The sequence below is a fragment of the Homo sapiens genome, chromosome 6 (assembly GCF_000001405.40).
Source record: "Homo sapiens chromosome 6, GRCh38.p14 Primary Assembly".
In the NCBI taxonomy this organism is placed as follows: Eukaryota; Metazoa; Chordata; class Mammalia; order Primates; family Hominidae; genus Homo; species Homo sapiens.
This window is the reverse complement of record NC_000006.12, coordinates 107,242,262-107,269,136: the sequence shown is the minus strand read 5'-3', so window position 1 is coordinate 107,269,136 and position 26,875 is coordinate 107,242,262. Positions and strand designations below refer to the sequence as shown.

Here is a 26,875-nt window from a genome sequence, read left to right as displayed (position 1 = left end):
CAGCCTGACCAACATGATGAAACCCTGAAATTATCAGGGCATGGTGGTGCATGCCTGTAATCCCAGCTACTTGGGAGGCTGAGGCAGGAGAATCGCTTGAACCCAGGAGGCTGAGGTCACAGTGAGCCGAGATCGCACCACTGCACTCCAGCCTGGGCAACAAGAGCGAAACTCCGTATGGAAAAAAAAAAAAATACTATTTGTTAAAGTAAGATACTCTGATGGAAGCAAAAAGAGAGTGCCTCTAAAAATATTTGGGCTGAAATATTTATACTGTTCAACATTTTTAAAATTAGAATTATGTCCTCCATTTAGCAAATTTACTCTGAACTTATCAGGTAACTTAGAACCTGTAGAAAGAGAATTTTCTCCATAATTGAAAGTATCAGTAATTTCAAACTAACCATAAACTGCAACTGTGAAGAATATTGCGGGCAGTTTTATTTTTAAATACTGTATTTTAATGAACACATTCTTCAGAAAAATGCCAGTGACACAATATTAGAGACAGATATGTCTAAGAAATGGATTAAACTATGTAGATATACATCAATAATAATTCTCATTATTTTTAAATATTCAGATAATCAGTATAAAGAAGTTATTGTTCTATTGTATGTACATGTATGTTATTTTTATTTCTTTTGAAATTTTATTTTTGAAAACAGTTTTTGAATAGAACCTGTTGAGTCCACCAATATAATAAAATCAGCTGTTTGTTTTTGAAATAAATACATATTTATTTCAATATAATAAAATCAGCTGTTTGTTTTTGAAATAAATACATATTTCAAAAAGTATAAAATTTTAGTTGTTTCAGCGCTTCTTTTTACTCTTGTGTCCCAGTTTGCATGATAAATTATATAGTATTCACACTTTAAAGACATTTCTCATAAGTTATATGAGATTTTTCTGCTTACATCCTGTTGACCAGAATTTAATTATATAGCCATACCTAGCTGTAAGGGAAGCTAGAAAATGTAATTTTTATTGTAGGTCATCATGGATCCAGCCAAAAATCTGGAAGATACAGATAAAAGATACTAGGAGACAAGTAACATTCTGCCCTACCTTCTCATCATGTGTTTGCATTTTTGGCTAGCACATATACTCATGAGGTAGACCTGCGGAATTTAAGGGAGAAAGTAGTATGGTACCTTTAATATCTAATTTATATTCATATTTTTTTAAAAGCTAAAGTAAAAAATGAATTGATCCTATTAAGCAGACTATTAGAGAATCTTGGTCAGGCATGGTGGCTCATGCCTATCATCCCAGTACTTTGGGAGATGGAGGTGGGAGGATAGCTTGAGCCCAGGAGTTGGAGACCAGCCTGGGCAACATAGCAAGACCCTGTCTCTACAGAAAAAAAAAACAAAAAACAAAAAACAGGCATGGTGGTGCATGCTGTTAGTCCTAGCTACTCAGCAGGCTGAGGTGGTAGGATTTCTTGAGCTTAGGAGTTGGAGACTGCATTGAGCTATGAATGCACCACTGTTTCTCTAGCCTGGGCAATAGAGCCCCTGTCTCAAAAAAAAAAAAAAAAAAGAAAGAGAATCTGATGTCTCTCTCCAATTCTATTTTATTTCATCTCAAATGTCTCTCTCCTTTATGCATATAGTATACTTTGACGGGTCCCACTAAATTCTCTCCTTCACTGGAATTCACATGTTAACAGAAGGTGAGTGGTTCTTTGCCCCTGGGACTCACAAACTGTATCATCCATCTCTCCTTTTCACCATATTTGCAGTGGTCTGTGATAAAACTTAGCCCTTGTTTAGAGAAGAAAGAGGCCTCAGAAAGTGCAGATCTGACATAGTGTCTGGACACCTTGAGCTGCACATGACCAGCTCTAGCTTCACAGGCTGGCCGTTCATGGATTAGACCTACAAAGCTGAGGGGAGGAGATATTCTGGACCTTGATAGTACCTAGGTCCACATTTTGGTAATTTGCCTCGGTATAGTTGCCACCTTAGAAAACCAAGACTCGTTGCCTTTGGACAAATTTCTATTTGTTTTCTGTAATCATTTGTTTTAACTTTGAACTATTCTGATGAAATCTTACATAAGGTTCAAACGGTGGTATTGTATACAAACATAATCATGTTAAATGATACAAACAAATAATCACTTGTTTAAACTGCTTCCCTTTATGGGACTAATATTTAACATGTTCCTTTTTCTTAACTAGCTTGTGTCAGTCACACATGCTTTTTTTCAATGTGGTTCAAGTACAGTGAAAATGGAAGCTTTACTCCCATCAAAATCAAATCAGATTCACAGCCTGTGAAATCCACTCTTGGTGTTTTGCATTCAGAAGCATCACTATAAATGTTCCAGAGTCTAAGACCTCCACCATCTGCTCCATTAGGCACTGGATTTCAGTAGCACTACTTGATTTAGAAAAAGAAAAAGAAAAACTTAGCATATCCAAGCAACTATTCAGCCTGAAGCTTCTTGAAATAAGAATGATCTGGCATTTCCTTCCCCTTCAGTGAGCCTCATAACTTCATGGTCTCTGCACAGGTTTACACCTTTAAATTTGCATTTTATCAACCTTTCTCTGGTGAGGAATTTTTTCCTTTTTAGGCTATGATATGTTTTTTTCTGAATTTGATAGTTGTATGTTGAATTGAAGGCTTTATTCTGTGCAGCCCTCCTGTTAATCTCAAACGTGAATCTTTTGCACCTTGTTCTTCAAAGGGTCATTGAAGGCTCTACCAGGTCAATTTCAGAAAAAAAAAAAAAAATGCCTCAGGGGTTCACTTTTTGTGAAAGACCTTAAGAACCATGCCCAGGGTCTGTAATTGATCTTCTCCAAATCAAGGCTTTTAGTAGCTCTCTTTTAATCGTAATAGATGATTTCCAAATCAGGTGAACAGTATTTTAAACTGAGGAGATTGTGAATTACTAAAGTTCTTGAAAGTCAGGAATTCCCTCTGATAAAGCAAATCTCCCATATTCAGAGCCAGTTTCTTTCATTTAAATACTTGGCAATATTTTCATCAGAATAATTTAAGGAAAGTGAAGTTATATCTCAGAAGAGGACTTATTTTATCAAATGAGCTCCCAGAAGCTTAAGTTGATTAAGTATAATAGTAACTATGGTTTTTTTAGAAGGAGGAGGTGGCGATAAATATTTCTTTGAAGTAGTAGTGTAGTAAGTTTTTTGCGTTTTGTTTGTTTGTTTGTTTGTTTGAGACAGTTTTGCTCTTGTTGCCCAGGCTGGAGTGCAGTGGCACGATCTTGGCTCACTGCAACCTCCGCCTCTCGGGTTCAAGTGATTCTCCTGCCACAGCCTCTCAAGTAGCTGGGATTACAGGTGCCCACCACCACATCTGGCTAATTTTTGTATTTTTAGTAGATGTGTTTTTGCCATGTTGGGCAGCCTGGTCTTGAACTCCTAACCTCAGGTGATCCACCTGCCTCAGCCTCCCAAGGTGCTAGGATTACAGGCGTGAGCCACCGCACCTGGCCAAGTTTTCTTATCTCTACATATGCTTAATGTCTTGGTAAAGTTAGATTCTATTTAATGATGTTTTAGTTTTCTTTTATAAGAAAGAAAATTTGTCAACAATAGCAACATAAATAGATACCACAGCAAGAGGAAACAGGCAAAACTTAATACAGAATTTCTGTTTATAATATGTCACTGTTTTTTCACAGTGACAGCCTGCTTTTTCTTTGAGGATGTATATTGGTAATTAAAGTTGGCATATTTGTAACAACTTTAATTTTTTATGACTTATTCATTCTACCAATTTCTCATTTTCTTGTGCTACTGGATTCTTGTCTGAATTTCTATATGATGTGTTTATCTCTGTACTTCTCATGGGGCAGGCCATTAGATGAAGGGTTCTGCAGTCAAATGAAATTCAGAGCTGTTTTATAATTGCCAAGGGTAAAATTAGCAGAGTCAATTATTTTCCCTTTGGCTTTTCCCTGAAGATATTAGGGGTCTTCAAGGTAATTGCCTTAGGTAACACTTAGATTTTTAAATATCTTCAAGTATAGAAATTGTTTATTAATCCTCTGGTAATTGTCTTCTTACCATTATAGCTGTAGTCACATAAATGCAAATTAACAAGATTTTGAATTCAAGAGGGAATTTAAAAATTAATGCTTGGGTTTTCATTCATTTTCAATTATGGAACATAAGGGCAAGTTTTTATTTTAGTACTTCACTGTACAAAGACCTGGACTAAAAGACCTCAGAATGCCTCTTTTTAAATCATAAATTTCCTGATTCCATTGGGATAAGTTGCTCTATATTGTGTCCATGTAGAACATCACTGGATGCTGTAGTGATGTGGTCATGCCAGAATCTAAAATTTTAGTGTTTGAGCAGCAAGCTATCAGTGAGACATGCTAACTAATTGGAAGGGAAATCATGAAGTGGAGAAGTACTATAATTTCGAAATCTAGCTGGCCATTAACAGGCTTCCTCTGGTCTTTGTATTTATTTAGACTGGGTTTGTATTTAGGATTAAGCCACAGTGCAAATAAGACTGTGTGGATTACTACCTGTCATCTTGTTTTTGAAAAGTCTTTTACTTTACATATATAATGATAAGCCTAGTATTTAAAGAATGGAATTTATCACGTTATTTTTTTTTCTTTGTAGTCATTTTCATTTAATGGACCTATTGCTATATATCAGATGGGAGACTGTGAGTCAGCCTGGATCTTGTCTAAACACCCAAGAGCATTGTCATGATGTCACTCCTGGAGGTTGTTCTATTAAGCATTAGTGATTTATACTTCCGGATAACCAGTGGCACAGATGTACTCTTTACATAGCTGATGTATTTCCTTATGTTAACTTTGTTTTCCTAAAGGCGTAAATATGTTGTTTAAAATGAAGTATTTTGTTTGTACAAATATGCTCAATTTATGCATATAAATCTCCCTTTACACCATCTATATAGTTTAATAAAGATGCTATTGTCTATTTGTGTTTGTCTTATCTGTTATAGTAATTTTACTTCCAAATTCATGTTAAATTGAAACCTAAAAACATGTATTAAGTTTTTCCCTGTCTTATGCATTTAAAATAGGCATTATTATGATAGTGTTTATAGTTTTGCTTGCACTATTTTACTTGTGGAAATTATTTAATATCTTTTAGGCTCTTTAGTTTGACACCCAAGGTTAATATTTTTTATACATGTAACCCACTCAAGTGTAGATTTGCATGACTAGGGTAAAGGGATGCAGAAGGTGGTAAGTGGGGTGTCATATAGTATAACAGTAAAAGAGACTATCTCCATATCAATTAATTAGAAAAGTCAAAATGCCATCATAAAATTATTTCAGAATCCCAAAATTAGCTTCTTCAGTTTTTTTCTGATTTGCTAATATAGTCACATATTAAACAGAGACTGTATCCATTTTCTGGTCATGCTTCCTTGATCTTTAAAGTGAAAGTAATAAATGATTAGTGTGTGCAAATTATACTAGAAATAAGACGAATTTTAAATAATATTAAAACCTGGAACTTTGCCCATTTTGAAGCCACAAGACAATGGAATGTAGTAGCTTTTTGGCACAGGAAGGTTAAATGCCATCAGGTGAAATTGACATTTCTCTGAGTATCAAACCAGAAACCTAACAACAAGGAAAAAGAGCAAGAGCAGCTTACATGTTTCTTCCATATGCCTGGCATTCAAAGACACCCTTTTTTTTTTTTTCAGTCTTGCTCTGTCACCCAGGCTGGAGTGCAGTGGCTCAGTCTCGGCTCACTGCAAACTCTGCCCCCTGGGCTCAAGCGATTCTTCTGCCTCAGCCTCCTGAGTAGCTGGGATTACAGGCGCCTGCCACCATGCCTGGCTAATTTTTGTATTTTTAATAGAGATGGGTTTTCGCCATGTTGGCAAGACTGGTCTTGAACTCCAGACCTCAGGTGATTTACCCACCTCGGCCTCCCAAAGTGCTGAGATTACAGGCGTAAGCCACCGCGCCTGGCCAAGGACACCCTTTTTAAAAAGAAAAAAAAAAATCTGCATTCTACAATACCTGCAAATAAATAAAATAGGAAAACAAACTGAACAAGAAATATTTGTTAAATTATTTTTAAATGTTGACATATAAAGGGAAATTTGGTTTAATAAGAGGATGAGGGTAGGCACTGGTTTTTTAATGCATATTTCATTTCTAATATTACCTTTTTTATTTTTTTAATTATTTTTATTTCTTTATTTTTTGTAATAGAGACAAGGTCTCACTACCTTGCCCAGGCCGGACTATCTAGCCCAGGCCAGTGTTGAACTCCTGGGCTCAAATGATCCTTGGCCTCCCCAAGTGTTGAGATGACAGGCGTAAGCCACTGTGCCCAGCCAAGTTTCCTTTTTTTTTCTTTTTTTTTTGAGACAGAGTCTCATTCTGTCACCCAGGCTGAAGTGCAGTGGCACGATCCTGGCTCACTGCAACCTCTGCCTCCCAGGTTCAAGTGATTCTCCTACCTCAGCCTCTCAAATAGCTGGGACTACAGGCACGTGCCACCATGCCCAGCTAATTTTTTGTATTTTTAATAGAGGTGGGGTTTCACCGTGTTAGCCAGGATGGTCTTGATCTCCTGACCTCGTGATCTGCCCGCCTCAAGCCTCCCAAAATGCTGGGATTACAGGTGTGAGCCACCTTGCCTGGCCCAATTTTCCTTTTTCTTAGCACGAGAGAAATCTTGCTTTCCTCTGATGTTTCTCAACTTGAAGATCCTTGGTTTATGTCTTCTTGAAAGGAGAAAGTAGAAGTCAAGAAGGTGAGTGGCAATTTTTCTGAAATAATAAGTAAAAGGAGAAAGAATAGAAAACTGGAGGATGAAGATTGAAGAGGATGTATATACACTTTAGAGATTACGTGAGGTGAAATTAACCGAGTTGTGAACAGTGTGTTAGGCTGTTCTTGCATTGCGATAAAGAAATACCTGAGGCAGGCCAGGCACAGTGGCTCACACCTGTAATCCCAGCACTTTGGGAGGCCGCGCGGGCAGATCACGAGGTCAGGAGATCGAGGCCATCCTGGCTAACACAGTGAAACCCCGTCTCTACAAAAATGCAAAAAAATTAGCCGGGCGTGGTGGCGGGCGCCTGTAGTCCCAGCTACTCAGGAGGCTGAGGCGGGAGAATGGCGTGAACCAGGGAGGCGGAGCTTGGAGTGAGCCAAGATCGCACCACTGCACTCCAGCCTGGGCAACAGAGCCAGACTCCATCTCAAAAAAAAAAAAAAAAAAAGAAAAGAAAGAAAAGAAATACCTGAGACGGGCCAGGCACGGTGGCTCACACTTGTAATTCTAGCACATTGGGAGGCCCAGGCAGGTTGATCACCTGAGGTCAGGAGTTCGAGACCAGCCTGGCCAACATGCCAAAACCCCATCTCTACTAAAAATACAAAAAATTAGCCGGGCATGGTGGCGGGCACCTATAATCCCAGCTACTCGGGAGGCGGAGGCAGGAGAATTGCTTGAACCCAAAAGCGGAGGTTGCAGTGAACTGAGATTGCGCCACTGCATTCCAGCCTAGGGGAAAGAGTGAAACTCCATCTCAAAAAAAAAAAAAAAAAAGAAAGAAAAGAAATACCTGAGACTGGGTAATTTTGTAAAGAAAAGAGGTTTAATTGGCTTATGGTTCTTCAGGCTTTACAGGAAGCATGGTGCTTGCACCTGCTCAGCTTCTAGGAAGGCCTTAGGAAGCTTACAATCATGGCAGAAGGCAAAGTGGGAGCAGGGACGTCACATGGTGAAAGCAGGAGCAACGGGAAGGAGGTGCCACACACTTTTAAACTACCAGATCTCCCAAGACCTCACTCACTATTGTGAAGACAGCACCAAGCCATAAGGGATCTGCCCCCATGATCCAAACACATCCCACCAGCCCCACCTCCTGCATTGGGGTTTACAATTCAACATGAGATTTGGGAAGGGACAGAAAGAGACACAGTATACAAGCCTGCTGGAGTGAAGAAAGGATAGATGGAGAAGAGATAGGCAGCTGCAGATGCGAAGGCAGGAATCAGCTGTCTATCCACCCAGTACTTAGTAAACTCCTAACTCAGAAAGTTCCTCAGGTGAGACCATTAGAAAGGGAAAAGAAGAGTACTGAATCACTCAAACTTGAAAATAGATTTTTTTTCTCGCTCTGGCTTTGGAGATCTAGCAAATGTCCATGAAAATGGAGGGGGGGCCAGGCGCGATGGCTCAAGCCTGTAATCCCAGCACTTTGGGTGTCTGAGGTGGGCAGATCACAAGGTCAGGAGATCGAGACCATCCTGGCTAACACGGTGAAACCCCATCTCTACTAAAAATACAAAAATTAGCCGGGCATAGTGGCGGGCGCCTGTAGTCCCAGCTACTCGGGAGGCTGAGGCAGGAGAATGGCTTGAACACGGGAGGTGGAGCTTGCAGTGAGCCGAGATTGCGCCACTGCACTCCAGCCTGGGCGTCAGAGCCAGACTCCGTCTCAAAAAAAAAAAAAAAAAAAAAAATGAAGGGGGAAGACTGATTTAATTAATTTTACTTCTGGAAGGTAGGAAATGGGATTTACAAAGATCAAGGTTGCTAAATGTATTATATATAATATTGCCATAGTCAATATATTTCTATTTCTCATGGCCAACCATGATGTGAGGTTCAACTGAATTTGAATACCATAAGCAAAAGAAAATTTAAGCTCATCCAAGAGTCTATGTGACTACTTTCCTCATTGATAGCCACATATAGCTCAGTCATGTTAATGTAATTTTGGTTTTAGCATTTCCATCATTTTCTTAAATTCTTAAAGTTGTAAATACGCAACAAAAAATTTACTTAGTCTAAGCCAAAGTTGGTTTATAGGGTCTTAGCCCAGGAGCAAATTTTATTTATTTAGCCATAGTGATTGGGAAGAGCCCTTTTCTGGCAGCTAATGACCTACTGGAGGACTTATGTGCCTAAGGCAAAGCTGAAGGCCATTAGCCCAACAGGTCATTAACTGACAAATGCCTGACCCTGAGGTCATTTCTGATATTGTAAACTGTGAAAACTTTAAAGTGGGTTTGTTGGAAAGTATGGCTGTGCCAAGCAAGTTTCTTTTTAAGCATTCTGGAAATTTCATTAAATTGTTTGTTGTCATTCCTATGGCTTAATTGTCATTGTTCTGGGACCATTTTCAGGGTGTAAAGTCAGGCAGAAATCTGGAAACACCAAAACTATATTGCAAATCAAGTCTTTGGTTTTTAAAGGATAGTTTCCCTGTTTAGAATATCAGAGTAACTGTTTACTAATAACAGTTTTAGCTACACTCTTGGGGATCACTTATATTTTCATAATGTGTTGAGCTACATAGCACTTATGTATTTTACATTCCTAGAGATGACATGTAAAGCTACAAAGAGAAGTGGAAAGAACCATAAAGTAGAAGTCTGTGGACCGAATTCCTAGCCTTGGCTTTTTTTCTCTTTCATTTTTTCTTTTTTCTATTTTTTTTTTTTGAGACAGAGTCTTGTTCTGTCGCCCAGGCTGGAATGCAGTGGTGCGATCTCAGCTCACTGCAACCTCCGCCTCCTGGGTTCAAGAGATTCTTCTGCCTCAGCCTCCCAAGTAGCGGGGATTACAAGCATGTGCCACCACGCCCGGCTAATTTTTTCCTTTTTTTTTGTATTTTTAGTAGAAGTGGGGTTTCACCATGTTGGCCAGGCTGGTCTTGAACTCCTGACCTCAGGTGATCCGCCCACCTTGGCCTCCCAAAATGCTGGGATTTCTGATGTGAGCCACCACGCCTGGCCTCATTTTTTCTTTTGTTTCTTTTTATCCCCCAATAAGCCATTTAACATTGAACTCTTCATTTTACCTCTCAGAATTCCAAATTCAGATCATTCATTCATCCATCTATTATTTCAGTCTATCTGATATCTTAATTCCCCATTTTTATCACTGAAATTAGAAACTTTATAGTTGTAGAAAATTTAATCATTAAAATTACCATCAAATATTTTAGAAATAACAATTTATATTTTTGAGGGCTTACTATACGGTAGGCACTGTTTTAAGTGCTTTATCTATATTAACCCATTTAATGTCTCCTGAGGTACAGGGAAAGGATAAGTAATTTCCCTCAAGGTAACACTGCTAATAAATGGTAGAGTTGCTGTCTAAATCCAGGCAATCTGACTGCAAAATCCTCATGCTTTACTAAAGTAGAAAACTGACAGACCAACAAAGAACCATGATACATTTTTGCCAACAATTTTGCAGTTATCAATCCTGGAATTTATGGTATCTTAAACGGTTATTAGTTTCTAAATATTGGAATACATATTTCAATACAAACATTGATAGGGGCTTCATGAAACTTTTTTTTTTTCTGAGACGGAGTCTCACTGTTGCCCAGGCTGGAGTGCAGTGGCACAATCTCAGCTCACTGCAACCTCCGCCTCCAAGGTTCAAGTGATTCTCCTGCCTCAGCCTCCCAAGTAGCTGGGATTATAGGCACCCACCACCACATCCAGCTAATTTTTGTATTTTTAGTAGAGATGGGGTTTTGCCATGTTGGCTATGGCTGGTCTTGAACTCCTGACCTCAGGTGATCTGCCTGCCTCGGCCTCCCAAAGTGCTGGGATTACAGGCGTGAGCCACTGTGCCCGGTGAAACATTTTAAATTAGCAACTTATAAGCAAAAGCAACTTTTTTTTTTTTTTTTTAGTTTTCTAAAAAAATAAAGGCAGCATCATGTCCATCTCTTAGATCCTTGCTGGTTCCAATATTCTATGGTTCCAAATGTTGTAGATGTTGTAGGAAAGAGTCTAAACTTGCATCTTATAACCAGATCCTGAAAATGGCATGACACATGAAGAAAAACAAAATGATTATAATCAAGGAAATTGTTAATAAAGTCAGGAAAGTAACAGAGAAGCCAATATCTTATATAAAATCAGAGAGCTAAAGATTTTTGTGCATATTTCAGCAATCTAAAGCAGTACCCCAAATTGGTAAACTCATCTTTATGGCGGATTTGTGTTGAAAATTTTATATATGGCTTAATTTGTTCAAGTACTTTAAAGGCTATAAGGTAATGTACAAATGTAAATTTCTGATAATATTGATTGAGCAAAGTGATAATTCACATTTATATTGAAACAGTTGTGATTTACACAAGTAAGTCACATACTAAAACAGTATTGTTAATTCAAAAAAAATTTTTGTGTGTGCATTGCATGAAGCATGAGAAATACCAGTTTAAAACCCAACTGGGACAGGAGTGGTGGCTCACACCCCTAATCCCAGCACTTTGGGAGGCCGAGGTGGGCAGATCACTTGAGGCCAGGAGTTTAATACCACTGACCAATATAGCAAAACTCTGTATCTACTAAAAATACAAAAATTATCTGGGTGTGGTGGGGCATACCTGTAATCCCAGCTACTTGGGAGGTCAAGGCACAAGAATTGCTAAACCTGGCAGGTGGAGGCTGCAGTGAGCCAAGATTGCACCACTGCACTCCAGCCTGTGTGATAGAGATCCTGTCTCAGGGGAAGAAAAAAAAAAGCCAATTGTATGTATATCTTTATAGATTGGAGTATTTCTAACCCAAGTATGTCCATTATTATTATTTATTTGTATTATTATTTTAATGAGACAGAGTCTCACTCTGTACCCCAGGCTGGAGTGCAGTGGGGCTATTGTCACTCACTGTAACCTCGAACTCACAGGCTCAGGTAATCCTCCACCTCAGCCTCCTGAGTAGCTGGGACTACAGCGCAAGACACCATGCCTTGTTAATTTTTTGAAGTTTTTGTAGACACAGAGTCTCTCTATGGTGCCCAGGCTGGTCTCAAACTCCTGACCTGAAGCCATCCTCCCACCTCAGCCCCCAAAGTGTTGGGATTACAGGCATGAGCCACTGTGCCTGGCCCAGGGTATCCATTATTTGATCCAAGGGTACAATGTGGCCAATCCCAGATTTATTTTATTTCATTTTATTTTATTTGTGAGACAGAGTCTCGCTCTGTCACCCAGGCTGGAGTGTAGTGGCATGATCTTGGCTCACTCCAACCTCCACTTCCAAGGTTCTAGAGATTCTCCTGCCTCAGCCTCCTGAGTAGCTGGGACTACAGTCGCCCACCACCACACCCAGCTAATTTTTGTATTTTTAATAGAGATGGGGTTTTGCCATGTTAACCAGGCTGGTCTCCAACTCCTGTCCTCAAGTGATTCACCTGCCTCGGTCTCCCAAAGTGCTGATTACAGGTGTGAGCCACCACGCCTGGCCTCTTCTATTATTGTTAATTAATTAATTTATTTATTTCTGGGACAGGATCTCCCTATGTTGCCCAGGCTGGTCTCAAACTCTTGGGCTCAGAGGCTTCTCCTACCTCAGCCTCCCAAGTGCTGGAATTACAGGCATGAGTCACTGTGCCCGGCCCCCAAATTTCTACCTGATAATTTGAAGGAAGGAAAAAAAAGATTACTTAATTTTTTAGAACACAGTACTAGTAGCATCAGTTATTTTTAGAATTCCATTGATTTGTGGATTTTGAAGAGCTTCAGAGTTATTTGGAAGAAATACAATTACAGCTTTAGTCAAATTGCATGGATTTTAAGGCACACGAATCATGATTTTATTTCTGTGCCTGCCTTTAGAGTACAAACCTTGGGATGTCTCTGAATTACAAACACCTGCCTTTTAGTGTGGCCCAATTTGAAGAGGAACTGCTTGAGCTGGAAAGTGAACTGTGTTACCCAAAAGACATGGCAGCACTGGAATTTGCAAGATGTATCTGTGACTCCTAGGAAATTACTGAAATTTTTAGCTCTTTGGCCAAATGTTATCTAAGCCAATTTGTTTTCAGGAATCTAACAGGATCCAAGCTAAGCATCAGGCAGGGCACCGTGGCTCACACCTGTAATCCCAGCACTTTGGGAGGCCGAGGTGGGTGGATCACCTGAGGTCAGGAGTTCGAGACCAGCCTGGGCAACACGGTGAAAACCTGTCTCTACTAAAAATACGAAAATTAGCCGGGCATGGTGGCATGCACCTGTAGCCCCAGCTACTCGGGAGGCTGAAACAGGAGAATTGCTTGAACCTGGGACGGGGAGGTTACAGTGAGCCAAGATGGCACCACTGCACTCCAGCCTGGGCGACAGAGTGAGACTCTGTCTCAGAAAACAAAAACAAAAAAAATGAAGCTAAGCATCAGCATTATTGATACAAGCCTACAAGATTGAAATGCACCCTAATAGAATATACTCCATAGTACCCAAGAATGATTCTGTTTTATCTTGCCTCTCTGTTTACCTTCACTTCATTTACATGTTTTTGGTAAAAAGTGATAAAGAAATAAATACCTCTAAAAATATATTTTAGAGTAACAATGTTTAAACTGCATCAAAAATTTGGAAGACCTTGTGTGTAATTACAAGGACTAACAAGGTATGAACTATACATAACATTTTTCAGCATGATATTGAATAATGTTTCAAACCACAGATCACATCCTTTTCATTGGGGAGTGGTGAAATCAATTTAGTGAATCACTATCAATACTTTTTGTTTGTTTTTTTTTTTTTTTGAGATGGAGTTTCACTCTTGTTGCCCAAGCTGGAGTGCAATGGCACGATCTCGGCTCACCGCAACCTCCGCCTCCTGGGTTCAAGCGATTCCCGGGTTCAAGCCATAGGACCTGGCGTGGTAGCTCACGCCTGTAATCCCAGCACTTTGGGAGGCTGAGGCCAGTGGATCACCTGAGGCTAGGAGTTTGAGACCAGCCTGGACAACATGGCAAAACCCCATCTCTACTAAAAATGCAAAATTAGCCAGGCGTGGTAGCAGACGCCTGTAATCCCAGCTACTTGGGAGGCTGAGGCAGGAGAATTGTTTGAACCCGGGAGGTCGAGGTTGGGGTGAGCCAAGATCACACCACTGCACTTCAGCCTGGGCAACAGAGACTCCATCTCAAAAAAAAAAAAAAAATAGAATGCAATAGAAAATTACATAATGAAACTTTTAATTTAATTTTGGCCAGGCGTGGTAGCTCACGGCTGTATTCCCAGCACTTTGGGAATACAAAGTCAGGAGTTCGAGACCAGCCTGGCCAACATGGTGAAACCCCGTCTCTAGTAAAAATACAAAAGTCAAAAGTTAGCTGGGCATGGTAATGGGCACCTGTAATCCCAGCTACTCGGGAGGCTGAGGCAGGAGAATCGCTTGAACCTGGGAGGTGGCAGTTGGAGTGAGCCGAGATCACACCACTACACTCCAGCCTGGGTGACACAGCGAGACTCCATCTAAAAAAAAAAAAATGTAGTTTTATATATGCACATGTATTTATACTGTGTCACAATGTGTATTGAAAGCCACTAATAGAAGGCAGTGTGCTAGCCAACAACAGTCTTTCAGTTTACATCACTGAGAGGGTCTCCAGATGAAGAAGCAGTGAAAGCAAAATGGAGCTCATCAGCCACATTGAATAAAAATGGGCCCAACACTAAAATGGCAAGGATAATTCTCTCAGAATTCTGTCAGAACAACATGCGGCAGTGTCGCTAGGTAAAGAACATACTGAGAATGGTATATCCTGAGTACAACAGACTTCATATTCAGCAATTCCCATACTGGGGGAAGGTGGAAAATAAAGCAACTAACTGCTATATGATAATCAGTTTTACGTTGCTTGTTTGTTTCATGACCAAGTATTCAATTCTCAGCAACTATTTATTATAGTTTTTATAGTAATGCAAAATACTTGACACAACCAACTTTTTAAAAAATCTGCTGGAAAACGTCTCCTTTTTCTTTATTTCTTATGAAAATTTTTATCTTTAAAAAAAATTATTTTTCGGCCAGGCGCAGTGGCTCACGTCTGTAATCCCACCACTTTGGGAAGCCAAGGTGGGCAGATCACGAGGTCAGGTGTTCAAGACCAGCCTGACCAACATGGTGAAACCCCATCTCTACTAAAAATACAAAAATTAGCCAGGTATGGTGGTGGACGCCTGTAATCCCAGCTACTCAGGAGGCTGAGGCAGGAGAATCACTTGAACCCGGGAGGCAGAGGTTGCAGTGAGCCGAGATCGTCCCACTGCATTCCAGTCTGGGAGACAGAGTGAGACTCTGTCTCAAAAAAAAAAAAAAAAGAAAGAAAGAAAGAAAAAGAAAAGAAAATTGCTTCATAGAGATGGGATCTCAGTGTTTTGCCCAGGCTAGTCTCAAAACTTCTGGCCTCAAGTGATCCTCCCACCTTGGCCTCACAAAGTGTTGGGATTACAGGCACGAGCTACCACACCTCACTGAAAATTTTCATCTTAAGCGCTTTAAATTGTCTGCTACTTTTTCAGGAACCTAATTGTTGTTTAAACAAATAAATGAGTCAGTGATCAATAAATGACTATTTGGCATTGCTTCAGTAGTCCAAGACCATGCACCTTTATTCAAAAGTAAAATCAGTTTTTTTATTACTCTTTTATTGTAGCTAAAAAAACTATTTTTTACTGTATCTCACAATTGTGAATTAAAAATGTATATAGCTGCACATTTAAATATTTCTAATCATAGGACTTATTGTTGATAAAACACAGAAACCTCTTATCTAGATAAGCAAACTGAGGGGCAAAGAAGTGACATGGTTGGCCCAAGGTCTTGCAACTTACGTATTAACCTTCTGAGTGATCAAAAACCAATAAATGGCCTTTATCTTTATGAAGTTATTTATCTAGACAATGTATCCTTTAAAAAGAACAACTATAATTTAAAAACACTGCAAAAAAAGTAAATGTAAAAGTTATTTATTAGACTTGTTTAGACATGGTCCCTTAGTGATACTTAAACCACAAACATGGCCGGGTGCAGTGGCTCACGCCTGTAATCCCAGCACTTGGGAGGCCGAGGCGGGCGGATCATGAGATCAGGAGTTCGAGACCAGCCTGGCCAGTGTGGTGAAACCCCGTCTCTACTAAAAAAAATACAAAAATTAGCCAGGCGTGGTGGCGCACGCCTGTAATCCCAGCTACTCAGGAGGCTGAGGCAGGAGAATTGCTGAAACCCGGGAGGTGGAGGTTGCAATGTGCCAAGATCAAGCCACCGCACTCCAGCCTGGGTGACAGAGCGAGACTCTATCTCAAAAAATAATAAAATAAACCACAAACATTTTTATATGTATTAATTGAATAAAGGAATTTTGATTTAGATCTTTTTGGTAGTGTCTCATGTATAACTGTGGCCTAACGAGACTAGTTTCATTAGTACAGTACCAGGCACATAGTAGGATATCAAACTGTTCATGAAATGAATCCACCAGCCAATATAAAATTAAACTTCATATTTAAGCCATCTTCCTGAATTTGTGGCCTATTTCTTTCAAGTTGTATCAGTTGCGATTTTAAAAATAGAACTTTCATTCATTTTTTGTTGAGATGGGTATCTCACTATATTGCCCAGGCTGGTCTCGAACTCCTGGGCTCAAGTGATCCTCCCACCTCGGCCTCTCAAAGTGCTGAGATTACAGGCGTAAGCCACTGCATCTAGCCTCAGTTGCAATTTTATACTTTTGTTTAGTTCACTGAATTTTCCTGAAACCTTTTTGACAAATGTTACCAGTAGTTAGTTTATGAACCAATGTATCAGCTGTTCTAAATTAAAAATTAAGATTATCAATTTGCTTAGTTTTTGCTGCACCTGTCCTGTTGGTAGTGCCATTTCTCTCTCTTCGCTACCCCCTTAGCCAGAAAGAACTTCCAGCTCACTAGAACAGATTGCCATCCCTCCCACAAATAAGCAAAGCCTTACACATTTGGCAGTACTGAAAAGGCTCCCTTCAAAAAACTGAGTTAGAAGCTTCCTCCAGAACTCCTATGAGTTGGTGTGCTTATTGCAACAGCCCTTTCATCATTGTCTACATTAAACCCAGTCCTAGTTTGATAGGAAGAAGTGGAGAGAGCCATCCTTTCAGAGACTTTAGCGATGGCTTTATCAAAGCCCTCATTTATTTTAATCAGCATGCAGAGTAGGGCTCATCTGGGTAGTTCGTGCCCAGGTGGTGGGTGAGTAGATTCACCCCTCATTTGGCCACTGCTGCTGTGCCCTGTGTTCTTCAGAAGTCGTTTCTCCACTGAGGCTGCCAGCCTGGAAGCTCTGGCTGAGCACTGGGGACTGAATCTACCTGGAATTAGATGGTTTGCTTAAATCCAATTGTAAATGATAAAGTGCTTTACAAATGTTAGACATTATTATTGGTCTCTATGGGAGGGTGCCACTCTTTAGTCCCTCTATACCTTATCTTGGCAATATAAATCTTTCCATCTTTATATGCGTCTCACAAATAGTTTGTGCTTCATTTTTATGAAGTAAAGAGTGACACCACCTGCTCTGGTTACCTTTATCGGCCTATTCAGCACCCTCTCAGTATTTTTCTGTAAGATATTTTCACTGATAAGAGTTTTTGTGGCTCAAAAAGAAATTTTGACAATATCCCTTCAAATTCCAAAGCTCTTTCAAAAGAGACTAAATCCATCTTTTGTTCCTCCCAAGATGTATATGAAAATTCATTCTTCCCCAAGAGTGTTTTACCTTTGCTACTACTTCATGCATTGCTGTTTGTTCCTGGGGGTGGAGGAAAGAGCGCAGTAAAGTTGTGCATAGTTAATGCCATCAGCACTGCAGATGTACATGCACACACATGAACACACATGACTGTTTTCTTTGCTAGCAGCTCAAAGCAGTAAAGGCTGAGGGGTGCCGTGTTATTCACCTCCAAATAGAGTGATGGACATGTTTTTCATTCCACACTGTAGTAAATCCATCATTAAAATCACCTGAGGACAAATTTTTGCAAGAAGATTACAAATCTGTAATGGCCTTCACAGTTTTTATATACCAAGCAAATTAAGTTATAAAGCAACCTTTTTCAAGTGAATTAAAATGCAACCATACTACCTTATTACATCAATCATATTATGCTGACTTGAGCTTTAATTGAGCCATGTTACCTTATAGTTTACATTTTTTCTAAAGATTTCCTTGTGGCCGGGTGCGGTGGCTCACGCCTGTAATCCCAGCACTTTGGGAGGCCGAGGCAGGCAGATCACAAGGTCAGGGGTCCGAGACCAGTCTGGCCAACATGGTGAAATCCTGTCTCTACTAAAAATACAAAAATTAGCTGGGTGTGGTGGCGGGCACCTGTAGTCCCAGCTGCTCGGGAGACTGAGGCAGGAGAATCACTTGAACCCGGGAGATGGAAGTTGCAGTGAGCTGAGATTGTGCCACTGCACTTCAGCCTGGGTAACAGAGCGAGACTCCGTCTCCAAAAAAAAAAAAATTTACTTGTATTTTAATTTAGGATAGGCACTCCTTTGCTCAAATTAGAGTGGTCTGCTGTACTAGTCAAACATCTACGACTCTGTTGAGTCTATTCAGCCTGTCAAGTGCTAACTGACAGTACTCCTGAATCCCATTTATTGAGAAAGGCACAACTTGTCTATCCAGAATGCTTACTGCCACTTACTGATCCTATTTTTTCTAGTCCAAAAACTATTGAGTGATATATTCCATAAATCAATTTGTGAACATAGCTTAACTTGAGGTCTCTCTGAGACTATAAACAAGGTATGCTTCCCCCCCCAACACCCTCCCCAAGGAAATAGGTTTATTGTTTTATTTAATTATAAAAGCAATACAATAAAAAGAGGGAAATAGTGTAATGCATTATATATGTAAGCTGTTATAAACTTAGCAATTATAAATTTAAGCAGAAAGATTGAAGAAAACAATTTTTTAAATTAAAAATCATCCAGAATCTATCATTTGTACATTATTATTATTTTGTTGTCTCTCCTTTCAGACTTTTTCTCTTGTGTATATAAACACATAGATTGACCTCATTTTTGTTTTTAAAATACCTTTCATACTACTTCTATTTTGTAAATAGCTTTTTTTCCTTAAGAATATGTTACAGACATCTTTGGATAGCAATGCGAGGATTTTTTTGCGGGGGGGGGTCAGTATTTTTGTCTTACCATCCCCTACTCCTCTCAATTTCTGTTTTTTATGATGAGAATTTATTATAGCTCAGGGCATAGTCATCACAATATCCTTTGTGAGGGTATTCATCATCTTGGTTTTTCAGTGTAAAAAATCATTGAATTGTAGTTACCCTTGCCAAAAGATAAAGAATGAAGCAATTATATATTCCCCTGAGATTGCTGAAATTTGTCCTGTAAATTAACCATTTAAGAAATTCATCACAAAGGTTAATTATGTCAGATCTATAATTTTGTTAAGGTTCAGATACACCTGGATACTATCTCTTCCTAACTTGGGTGAGACGGTGGTTATTGAAATGGGAGTGATCAACAATTTGCTTGAGAATAGCAACTAGACATGCACTGTCCATTTACTGTCCTATGCTGCAGCATTCTCCCCAGCAGCCAAAACAAGGGAGGTGGCAGGAGAAGCCAGCTCATGACACTTACATTAGGAGTGGTTGCCACTTCAGGTTCACTGGAAATTGAAGGATAGTGTATGGCTTTGCTGTAGAGTCGTATTTCAACATATGACCCAAACTGAAGAGAAGAGCATTTTTTTTTTATTTGCATGTGTAGGTAAGCAATGCTGCTATTCTCGCAGTCACCAGAAATGCAGAAAGTTATGTCCTGTTTAATTGCTCTCCAGATGGCTAAACTATTTAACATTGATGCTGACTGTTGTATAATCTAAAACAATATTTCAGGATGCAGCAAGTCAGTGTTTCAGAGGTCCCTGATTTTGGTTAAAATGGTCTTTGCATGTGTTCTGGGTTGGGTTTTGTTGTTGAACTAAAACTCACTTTCTTCCAAAATATTTAGGCACACAATTTTAAAAATACCATAATCTTGGTTTCCATACTCTGCTGTTCATCTACGCAAGGCTTGTACTGAATATAGCACGGTAATAGGGCAGTATGGAAGAAGAATAAGTTAACACTCACTGAAACTTATGTTCCAGATTCTCTTCTAAATGCTCTACGTATTTACTGTTTAGAGATACTCACGATATGGCCAACTTAGTACCATTATTTGTTTGATGCAACTTGGCAGTTAAGCCTGATGTCATTCAGAATCCAGTATATATAAATCATTTCCAAGCATTAGAGCCCTTCAAGAATCAGAGCTCAGCAGTGTTGCCTTTAATTGACTCAAGTAGGACTTTGCCAGTTGATGGGGTGCTCTACCAGTCATAATGGTTTTGAAAAATGGAAAGTGTTTTATTATAATTCTAGGTATTGAAACCAAAGGGGATTTGGTACAAAAAGTTTCACAAAGAAATTAGCCAGTAGAATTCAGATAGAGGGAAAGGTTCATGTGAAGACAACAGATAAAAATGAATTACATGAGCAAAGATGTTCCATCAAAATTTGCAGAAAAGGAGTTTTCAAGTTTACATGCCTAATTATAAATAATAAGACTTGCATTTGTAAAAGCTTAGAATTATAGGGCTGGAAGAGGCCTTAAGGAATCATCTTTTCCAATTCCCTTTATTGCAATTCATTGCATTGAGTTGAAGAAAATCAAAGCTCAGAAAAATTGATTTGCCCAAATCTCACAATCAAATTATTAGTAGACCTTGGAATAGAATCTAGATTCTGTGGCTGCTAGTATTCTGCTTTTTTTTTTTTTTTTTTTTTAACAGTTCCCTAATCTGTTGAGCTTCCAAGGGTAACTCACATTGAGGCTCTTTGAACCTTCTTTTTTTTTTTTTTCTTCCCCTAGTAGAAAGTGTTTGCTTGCCCCATGGGCCTGAGAAACAAAAGTCCTGGAATCTTTCTCAAGGTTGCACTTATCTATAGCAACAGGACTTCAGCTCTCAGCCCCAAGAGGTCTGGCTTTTAGGCCTCTGGATTCTCCTTTGGCTGCCATTATTCCTGCCAGCACTTTGAGTTGCCTGAACATGTCACTCCTCAAGAATCTGAGGGGGGAATATGTTATTAACCAAGTGTTTTCTTAAATGTAAGTATAGCAGTATCTAAACAGGTGAATGTCTGGGGTAATATGCAAAAAAAAGTCAGATTATTAAATGAGCTTACTAAATTGTGAGTGGCTGCTAGCCTTGTGGTCTCTCTAGAAATATTTGCAGTTTTAAGGAAGGGTGATACTTAAACACATCTTTCTTTTTTTTTTTGAGATGGAGTTTCGCTCTTGTCGCCCAAACTGGAGTGCAGTGGCGCTGCGATCTTGGCTCACTGCAAACTCCACCTCCTGGGTTCAAGCAATTCTCCTGCCTCAGCCTCCGGAGTAATTGGGATTACAGGCATGCCCCACCATGCCCAGCTAATTTTTGTCTTTTTTTTTTTTTTTTTTTTTTAGTAGAGACAGGGTTTCACCATGTTGGCCAGGCTGGTCTCGAACTCCTGACCTCAGGTGATCCACCCACCTCTGCCTCCCAAACTGCTGGTATTACAGGCGTGAGCCACTGCACCCGACCAAACACATCTTTCTTTGGTATAATTTTAAAAATAAACATTTCAGGCAATGTAAAGAGATTGATATGTGCACTGGGTAAGTCACCCTTATCTGGAACAGTTTCAACTTCTTAGGCTACTCTTGCTTTTTATAATCTCTTTCCTTCCTCGACTTGTTAACTCAAAGAAATCTAAAGCTTTTTCCTTAATGGGTTGTCATTGGCTATGGAGGTGGAGGTGTGTTCTGTTCAAGTAAGTATAGCCATTTGTAAGTACAGGTCATTTATAAATTATGAACTTGTAAGGACAGGTTTACGCAATGAGAAAAAGAGTCAGAGAACAAAATGTTCTTGTTGCTTCTGCCTGGTCTGGAATTTCAGGGAAGTAAAGGAACACTCTGGTTATCCAGAGCCAGATCCACTGTTAAAAGTTCATGCCATCATTTTGACATTTAGCGTCAGACTTTCTCTTTGTAAATCCCTCTTCACGTTACCAATGCTGGTCTCAGAGCTCAAACTGTTTCAAAACCATAACATTTCTTAGTGAGTGATTGATCTGTATTATGTGTCCAGCCATCAGGGGGATCTTGGGATGTTGCTTGTGTAAACTGTAATCCAATCTGATGCTGTGCGTTTAGTTACAGTCTTTCATAGACCTATTGGCGATACTCAGTCCTCCTGGATTTAGGAATAGGGCTTATCTGATACCTTCAGGGGGAAAAAAATCCATTCATTTTTCTCTCTTCCCCACTTAAATAACTCAACTCATGTGGTAACACTGTAGGATCATTGTCCTTCCAGTTCCTCTGCAGCTCATATTGCTACAATATTTCTTAAGTATTTGGTTACCTGAAGGACAATGTGATTTAAAAAAAATAAAAAAGACTTTGTATATGTCTTACAAATTAAACCATCCTTAAAGAGCTAGGAAAAAAATATGCCTTTAATCAGCAAAAATTTCATATCAGCAGTTCTGTGTATGTTATGTAGTATAAACGTAAATATATAAATTTGGAGATAAGTGCTCATGTGTTAAAATGTTAAAGCAAATCTTTCTACAAATTAATGTCATTTGCCTCTAAGAAAATGTTTATTAAACCCAGGGTACCTGAGATTGAAGTATCTTGTTGTTTGGGTCTGTATTCTTTGGCTTAATAATGTCTTCAATTACAAGAATGATAAAAGCTGAAACAAAATCCTTTAATTCAATCAGAATGGAGCTGAATTTTCGGAAGCAAAGAGTGGAAATCTGATACAGGACTGCATAACATAGGAAGTTAAATATACAAGATATTAAGACTTGTAAGAAGCGGATGGGGTTGCCTTGAGGAATTCTTATTTGAAATGGCTACATTGAACATTATCATAAATACCACTATTTTATCCTCTCAAATTAAGATGCTTTATGCAAACTACTCTAAATTGTACAGTAGTTCCAAAGAGACCATTTACTGTTTTCTGCTTGTTTTACATCCTGGAACAAGTTCAAAGCTTTTGATCTCACTTGATTTAACAAAAAAAAAAAGTCTCAGCCTTGAAAAATAATACAGGTTTGATGAATATGATTTCAGTATTACAGTTCTGTAAAAATTTTCAGTGTTTATGGTACATTTGACCCAGGGACCCCACAGTAAATATATCCACAGTGCATTTTAAGTGTAACAGAATGAACATATTTGAAAGATTATCCATTCTTTTGCTTTTGCTTTTTTTTCTGTAATAAGTATGAAAATTAACATTGTAATTGCTCCCAGAATGGGAGTACTGAAAAAGTATCCACCTGACAGAAATAAACATGCAGAAAATAAATTGAGTTAAGATTTCATTAGTTATCTGAAATGTAAGTTTATGTTCAAAATGGCTATTACTCGATTTTCATGTATATTAGTTAAATGCTATGCTTATAAGATTTTTTTTGGCTTGAATTATGACTGAAAAAATTTGGATCACAGCTTTAATATCCAGGTGGGCAATGCCATTTGCTGAGATCTTGGTGCATAGTCCCATTTTTTCTGTCAAGCACAGAAAAATTCTGCCTTGCCACTGAGCCTTCTGAAACATTCTGAGGTAACAATAGAGATATATTTAAATTTTTTTATTTTTATTTTTCTTCTTGCTTTTTAGGTTGTGGAACTTTTAGCAAGTGCTCTTATGGACTTGGTACAAGGAGTATATCATGAAAATTCTACTTCAAAGGTAAAGGATTTCAGAGTCATAAAATGTTATGTTATAAACCGTCGTGGTACAACTAGAATAACGAAAATGTCATTCTTGTTTTGTGTTTAAATTGTACATGGCTTTTTTTTTTTTTTTTTTTTTTTTTTTGATTAGTGTTTTGGCTACAAATTCATGGCCATACGCTTACTACATAGCAGATTTAGCCAATTAAAACAACCTCTTATCCTCTGGCTGGATTCACAGTCTGTTCAATCTGCAGCAGCTCAGTAGACACTGGGATGCTTCTGGCTAGCAGGTAGCAGTGTCACAGGCAGGCAGGCTGGAGGAGCAGCTCGTGCTGAGGCAGCTGAGCCCATCCTTTCCCCAGAGGAAGGGTCCTTCCGTGTCACAGAGGAGTGGACCTTGAGCCTAAGAAGATGACTGTTGGGGAGGTGGGATGGGGGTATCTTTTATATACAAGATGCATAATTTACTGCATTATTAGATTCTTTATTATAAGAAGTGGGATGATTGCACAGTTGGATTATTTTGATTAATTTTATAGGTCTAGAATTAAGATTTTTTTGACTCATTTAGCAGGACATCTCAAGAAAGGTTAGGTTTCATTTCCTTAAAATGCAGTTATTTCATTTCGGTAGGATGTTAGATGTGAAGTAATTGCTTCATTGACCATCACCATCATTTAACATGGTAGATACTATTATAAGGGGCTCCTATCTTAGTGTTTCATTATTCTAACTTCTTTAGCTTCTGTATTAGCAAGATTTCACTCACTTCAAATTAGAAAAGGTATGCACATATGCACATCTTAAGCTTTTTGACATTTTCATTTGAAAAAAGGAAGATAAATTTTATTAGAAGTGAAACATAGGGCATGAGTAACTTGGATAAGAAATTTAAAATTTAAAAGTATAACCCAGGGACTCTGGGTGGTTCAGAGACTGGTTAGAATATGAAGAATTGCACTTTGGACATCTGCCAACGTTTGGTTCAAGTAACCACAGTTCCTAGTAGGCACATCTGGCCTCACCTAAGCAGCATATTGGTATGCAGAGACCTCACAGGATGGATGACCACAGTGGACCTTTCAAAGACATGCAAGTTCACTACTATGGATGGAGGTTAATATCTGATTGTAAAATGGGTGACTACTGGTCTAGTTCCACTTGTAAAAAGTTACGTTGTATAGATAGTATGATGAAGATGACAACAGCTAAGCAAATAACCCTGTAGTAAGTGATTTGCCTGTGTTTCTTCATTTAATCCTCACAGAAATCCTGAGAGATAGGTACTACTGCTATCCCCATTTTACAGATGTGAACACTGGGGTTGAGAAAAGGTTAAGTAATTTTCCCAAGGTCACACAACTTGTTAGCTCTCAGGGATTTGAAGTCAAGAGCCCAGACTCTTTTTTTGTTTTGTTTTGTTTGTTTTTTTGAGATGGAGTTTCGCTCTTGTTGCCCAGGCTGGAGTGCAATGGCACGATCTCGGCTCACCACAACCTCAGCCTCCTGGGTTCAAGCGATTATCCTGCCTCGGCCTCCCAAGTAGCTGGGATTACAGGCATGCACCACCACACCTGGCTAATTTTGTATTTTTAGTAGAGACAGGGTTTCTCCATGTTGGTCAGGCTGGTCTTGACCTCCTGACCTCAGGTGATCTGCCCACCTCAGCCTCCCAAAGTGCTGGGATTACAGGTGTGAGCCACCATGCCCAGCCCAGGATGGGGGCATGGCAGACCACAGTGGTCTTGGAAAATGCAACAGTTAGGCACAAAAGCAGGAGTGCCTGTCCTCACCTAGGTCTGTAGGAGTGGAGCCCCAGCCAGGACCTGCCTTTCTCTACCCAGCACTTCCCCGTACCCGCTCCCATATCTTCTGTACTTTAGTGAAACCTGATTTGATAGCATCTGTCTGCCATACCTGAGATCCCACTCTATGATAATTATAGTGACCAGTTCTGGCTGTTGAGACACTGTTTTCCCTTGGGATATTTCCAGAGTGTTCAACTTAGTTCCATATAAGATATCTATATTTCACAATTAAATATGTTAATTTTTACATGAAAGCATTATTGTTGGTTTTAAGGTTCTTAATTTATCTACTCTTACCATTTGTCCACTATAATAAGCTCAGTTCATTAATAATTGTGTGACCATGTTTTAAGTATTTTTTATGTCAGGGAAACCTGACAGCTACGACAGTTAATACTTAGATAGCCCTTTACAGTTTGCTTATACTTTCTTTGTACACAATCACCTATGAAAAGGGTGACATTTGTTGGTATTCCCATTTATAGAGGAAAAGCCTGAAATTCAAACATAACAAATGGCAGGAAAGCATAGTGTCTGAAAATTATTTGTTAATATATTAACATGTTTCACAGTTCATAATGAACCCAGGTTTTTCTTGACTCTCAGTCCCATGCTTTTTCTAATATTTTTAATGTGTTTCTTCCTGAAAAAGAGAAAAGAAGAAGCAACAAAGTCTTTGAAGGGCTGTTGATTGTACTTGAACCACCACTTAGCAAGCACCAATTGCTGACTTTATTTAAATACAGAGATTCAGAGGAATGCTAACCTTCATTAGCTACATTTTATTAAAGAGACTTTATAGCACTGCTTCATTCATCTGTCCTCTTTCCCTGCCACCTCCTCATAGCCCTTTTTTAAGCAGTTAAATTTCTGAAAATAGCCAAACCATTTAAAGGGCCATTCTTTTTTAATAATGGAAACAGAATGGTGTGGTGGCTCAAGCCTATAATCCCAGCACTTTAGGAGGCCGAGGTAGGAGGATCTCTTGGGGCCAGGAGTTCAAGACCAGCCTGGACAACATGGGAAGACCCCATCTTTACAAAAAATAAAATAACTGGGCATGGTAGCCCATGCCTGCTCAGGATGCTGAGGCGAGGCAGGAGGATCACTGGAACCCAGGAGTTTGACGTTACAATAAGCTGTGATCACACCACTGTACTCCAGCCTGGGTGACAGCAAGACCTTGTCTCTTAAAAAATAATAATTTTTGGCCAGGCGTGGTGGCTCACGCCTGTAATCCTAGCACTTTGGGAGGCCAAGGCAGGCGGATCACGAGGTCGGGAGATCGAGACCATCTCATCTCTACTAAAAATATAAAAAAATTAGGCGGGCACAGTGGCGGGCGCCTGTGGTCCCAGCTACTCAGGAGGCTGAGGCAGGAGAATGGCGTGAACCCAGGAGGCGGAGCTTGCAGTGAGCCAAGATCGCGCCACTGCACTCCAGCCTGGGCGACAGAGCAAGACTCCGTCTCAAAATAATAATAATAATAAT

General features: G+C 39.4%; 1 protein-coding gene across 15 annotated transcripts in view; it reads left to right on the top strand.

The window, feature by feature from the left end:
• The window catches only part of PDSS2 (decaprenyl diphosphate synthase subunit 2), a 307,003-nt gene that overhangs the window by 190,428 nt on the left and 89,700 nt on the right, over positions 1-26,875 (top strand). For 14 of the 15 annotated variants that reach the window (XM_011535960.4, XM_047419100.1, XM_047419098.1 and 11 more), the window contains one exon: positions 23,518-23,589. In XM_011535960.4, the coding sequence (XP_011534262.1) occupies positions 23,518-23,589 (72 nt within the window). Of the gene's footprint in view, positions 1-4,624; positions 4,952-23,517; positions 23,590-26,875 lie in introns of those variants that run through there. The other variant, XM_011535963.4, reaches the window with a different exon arrangement.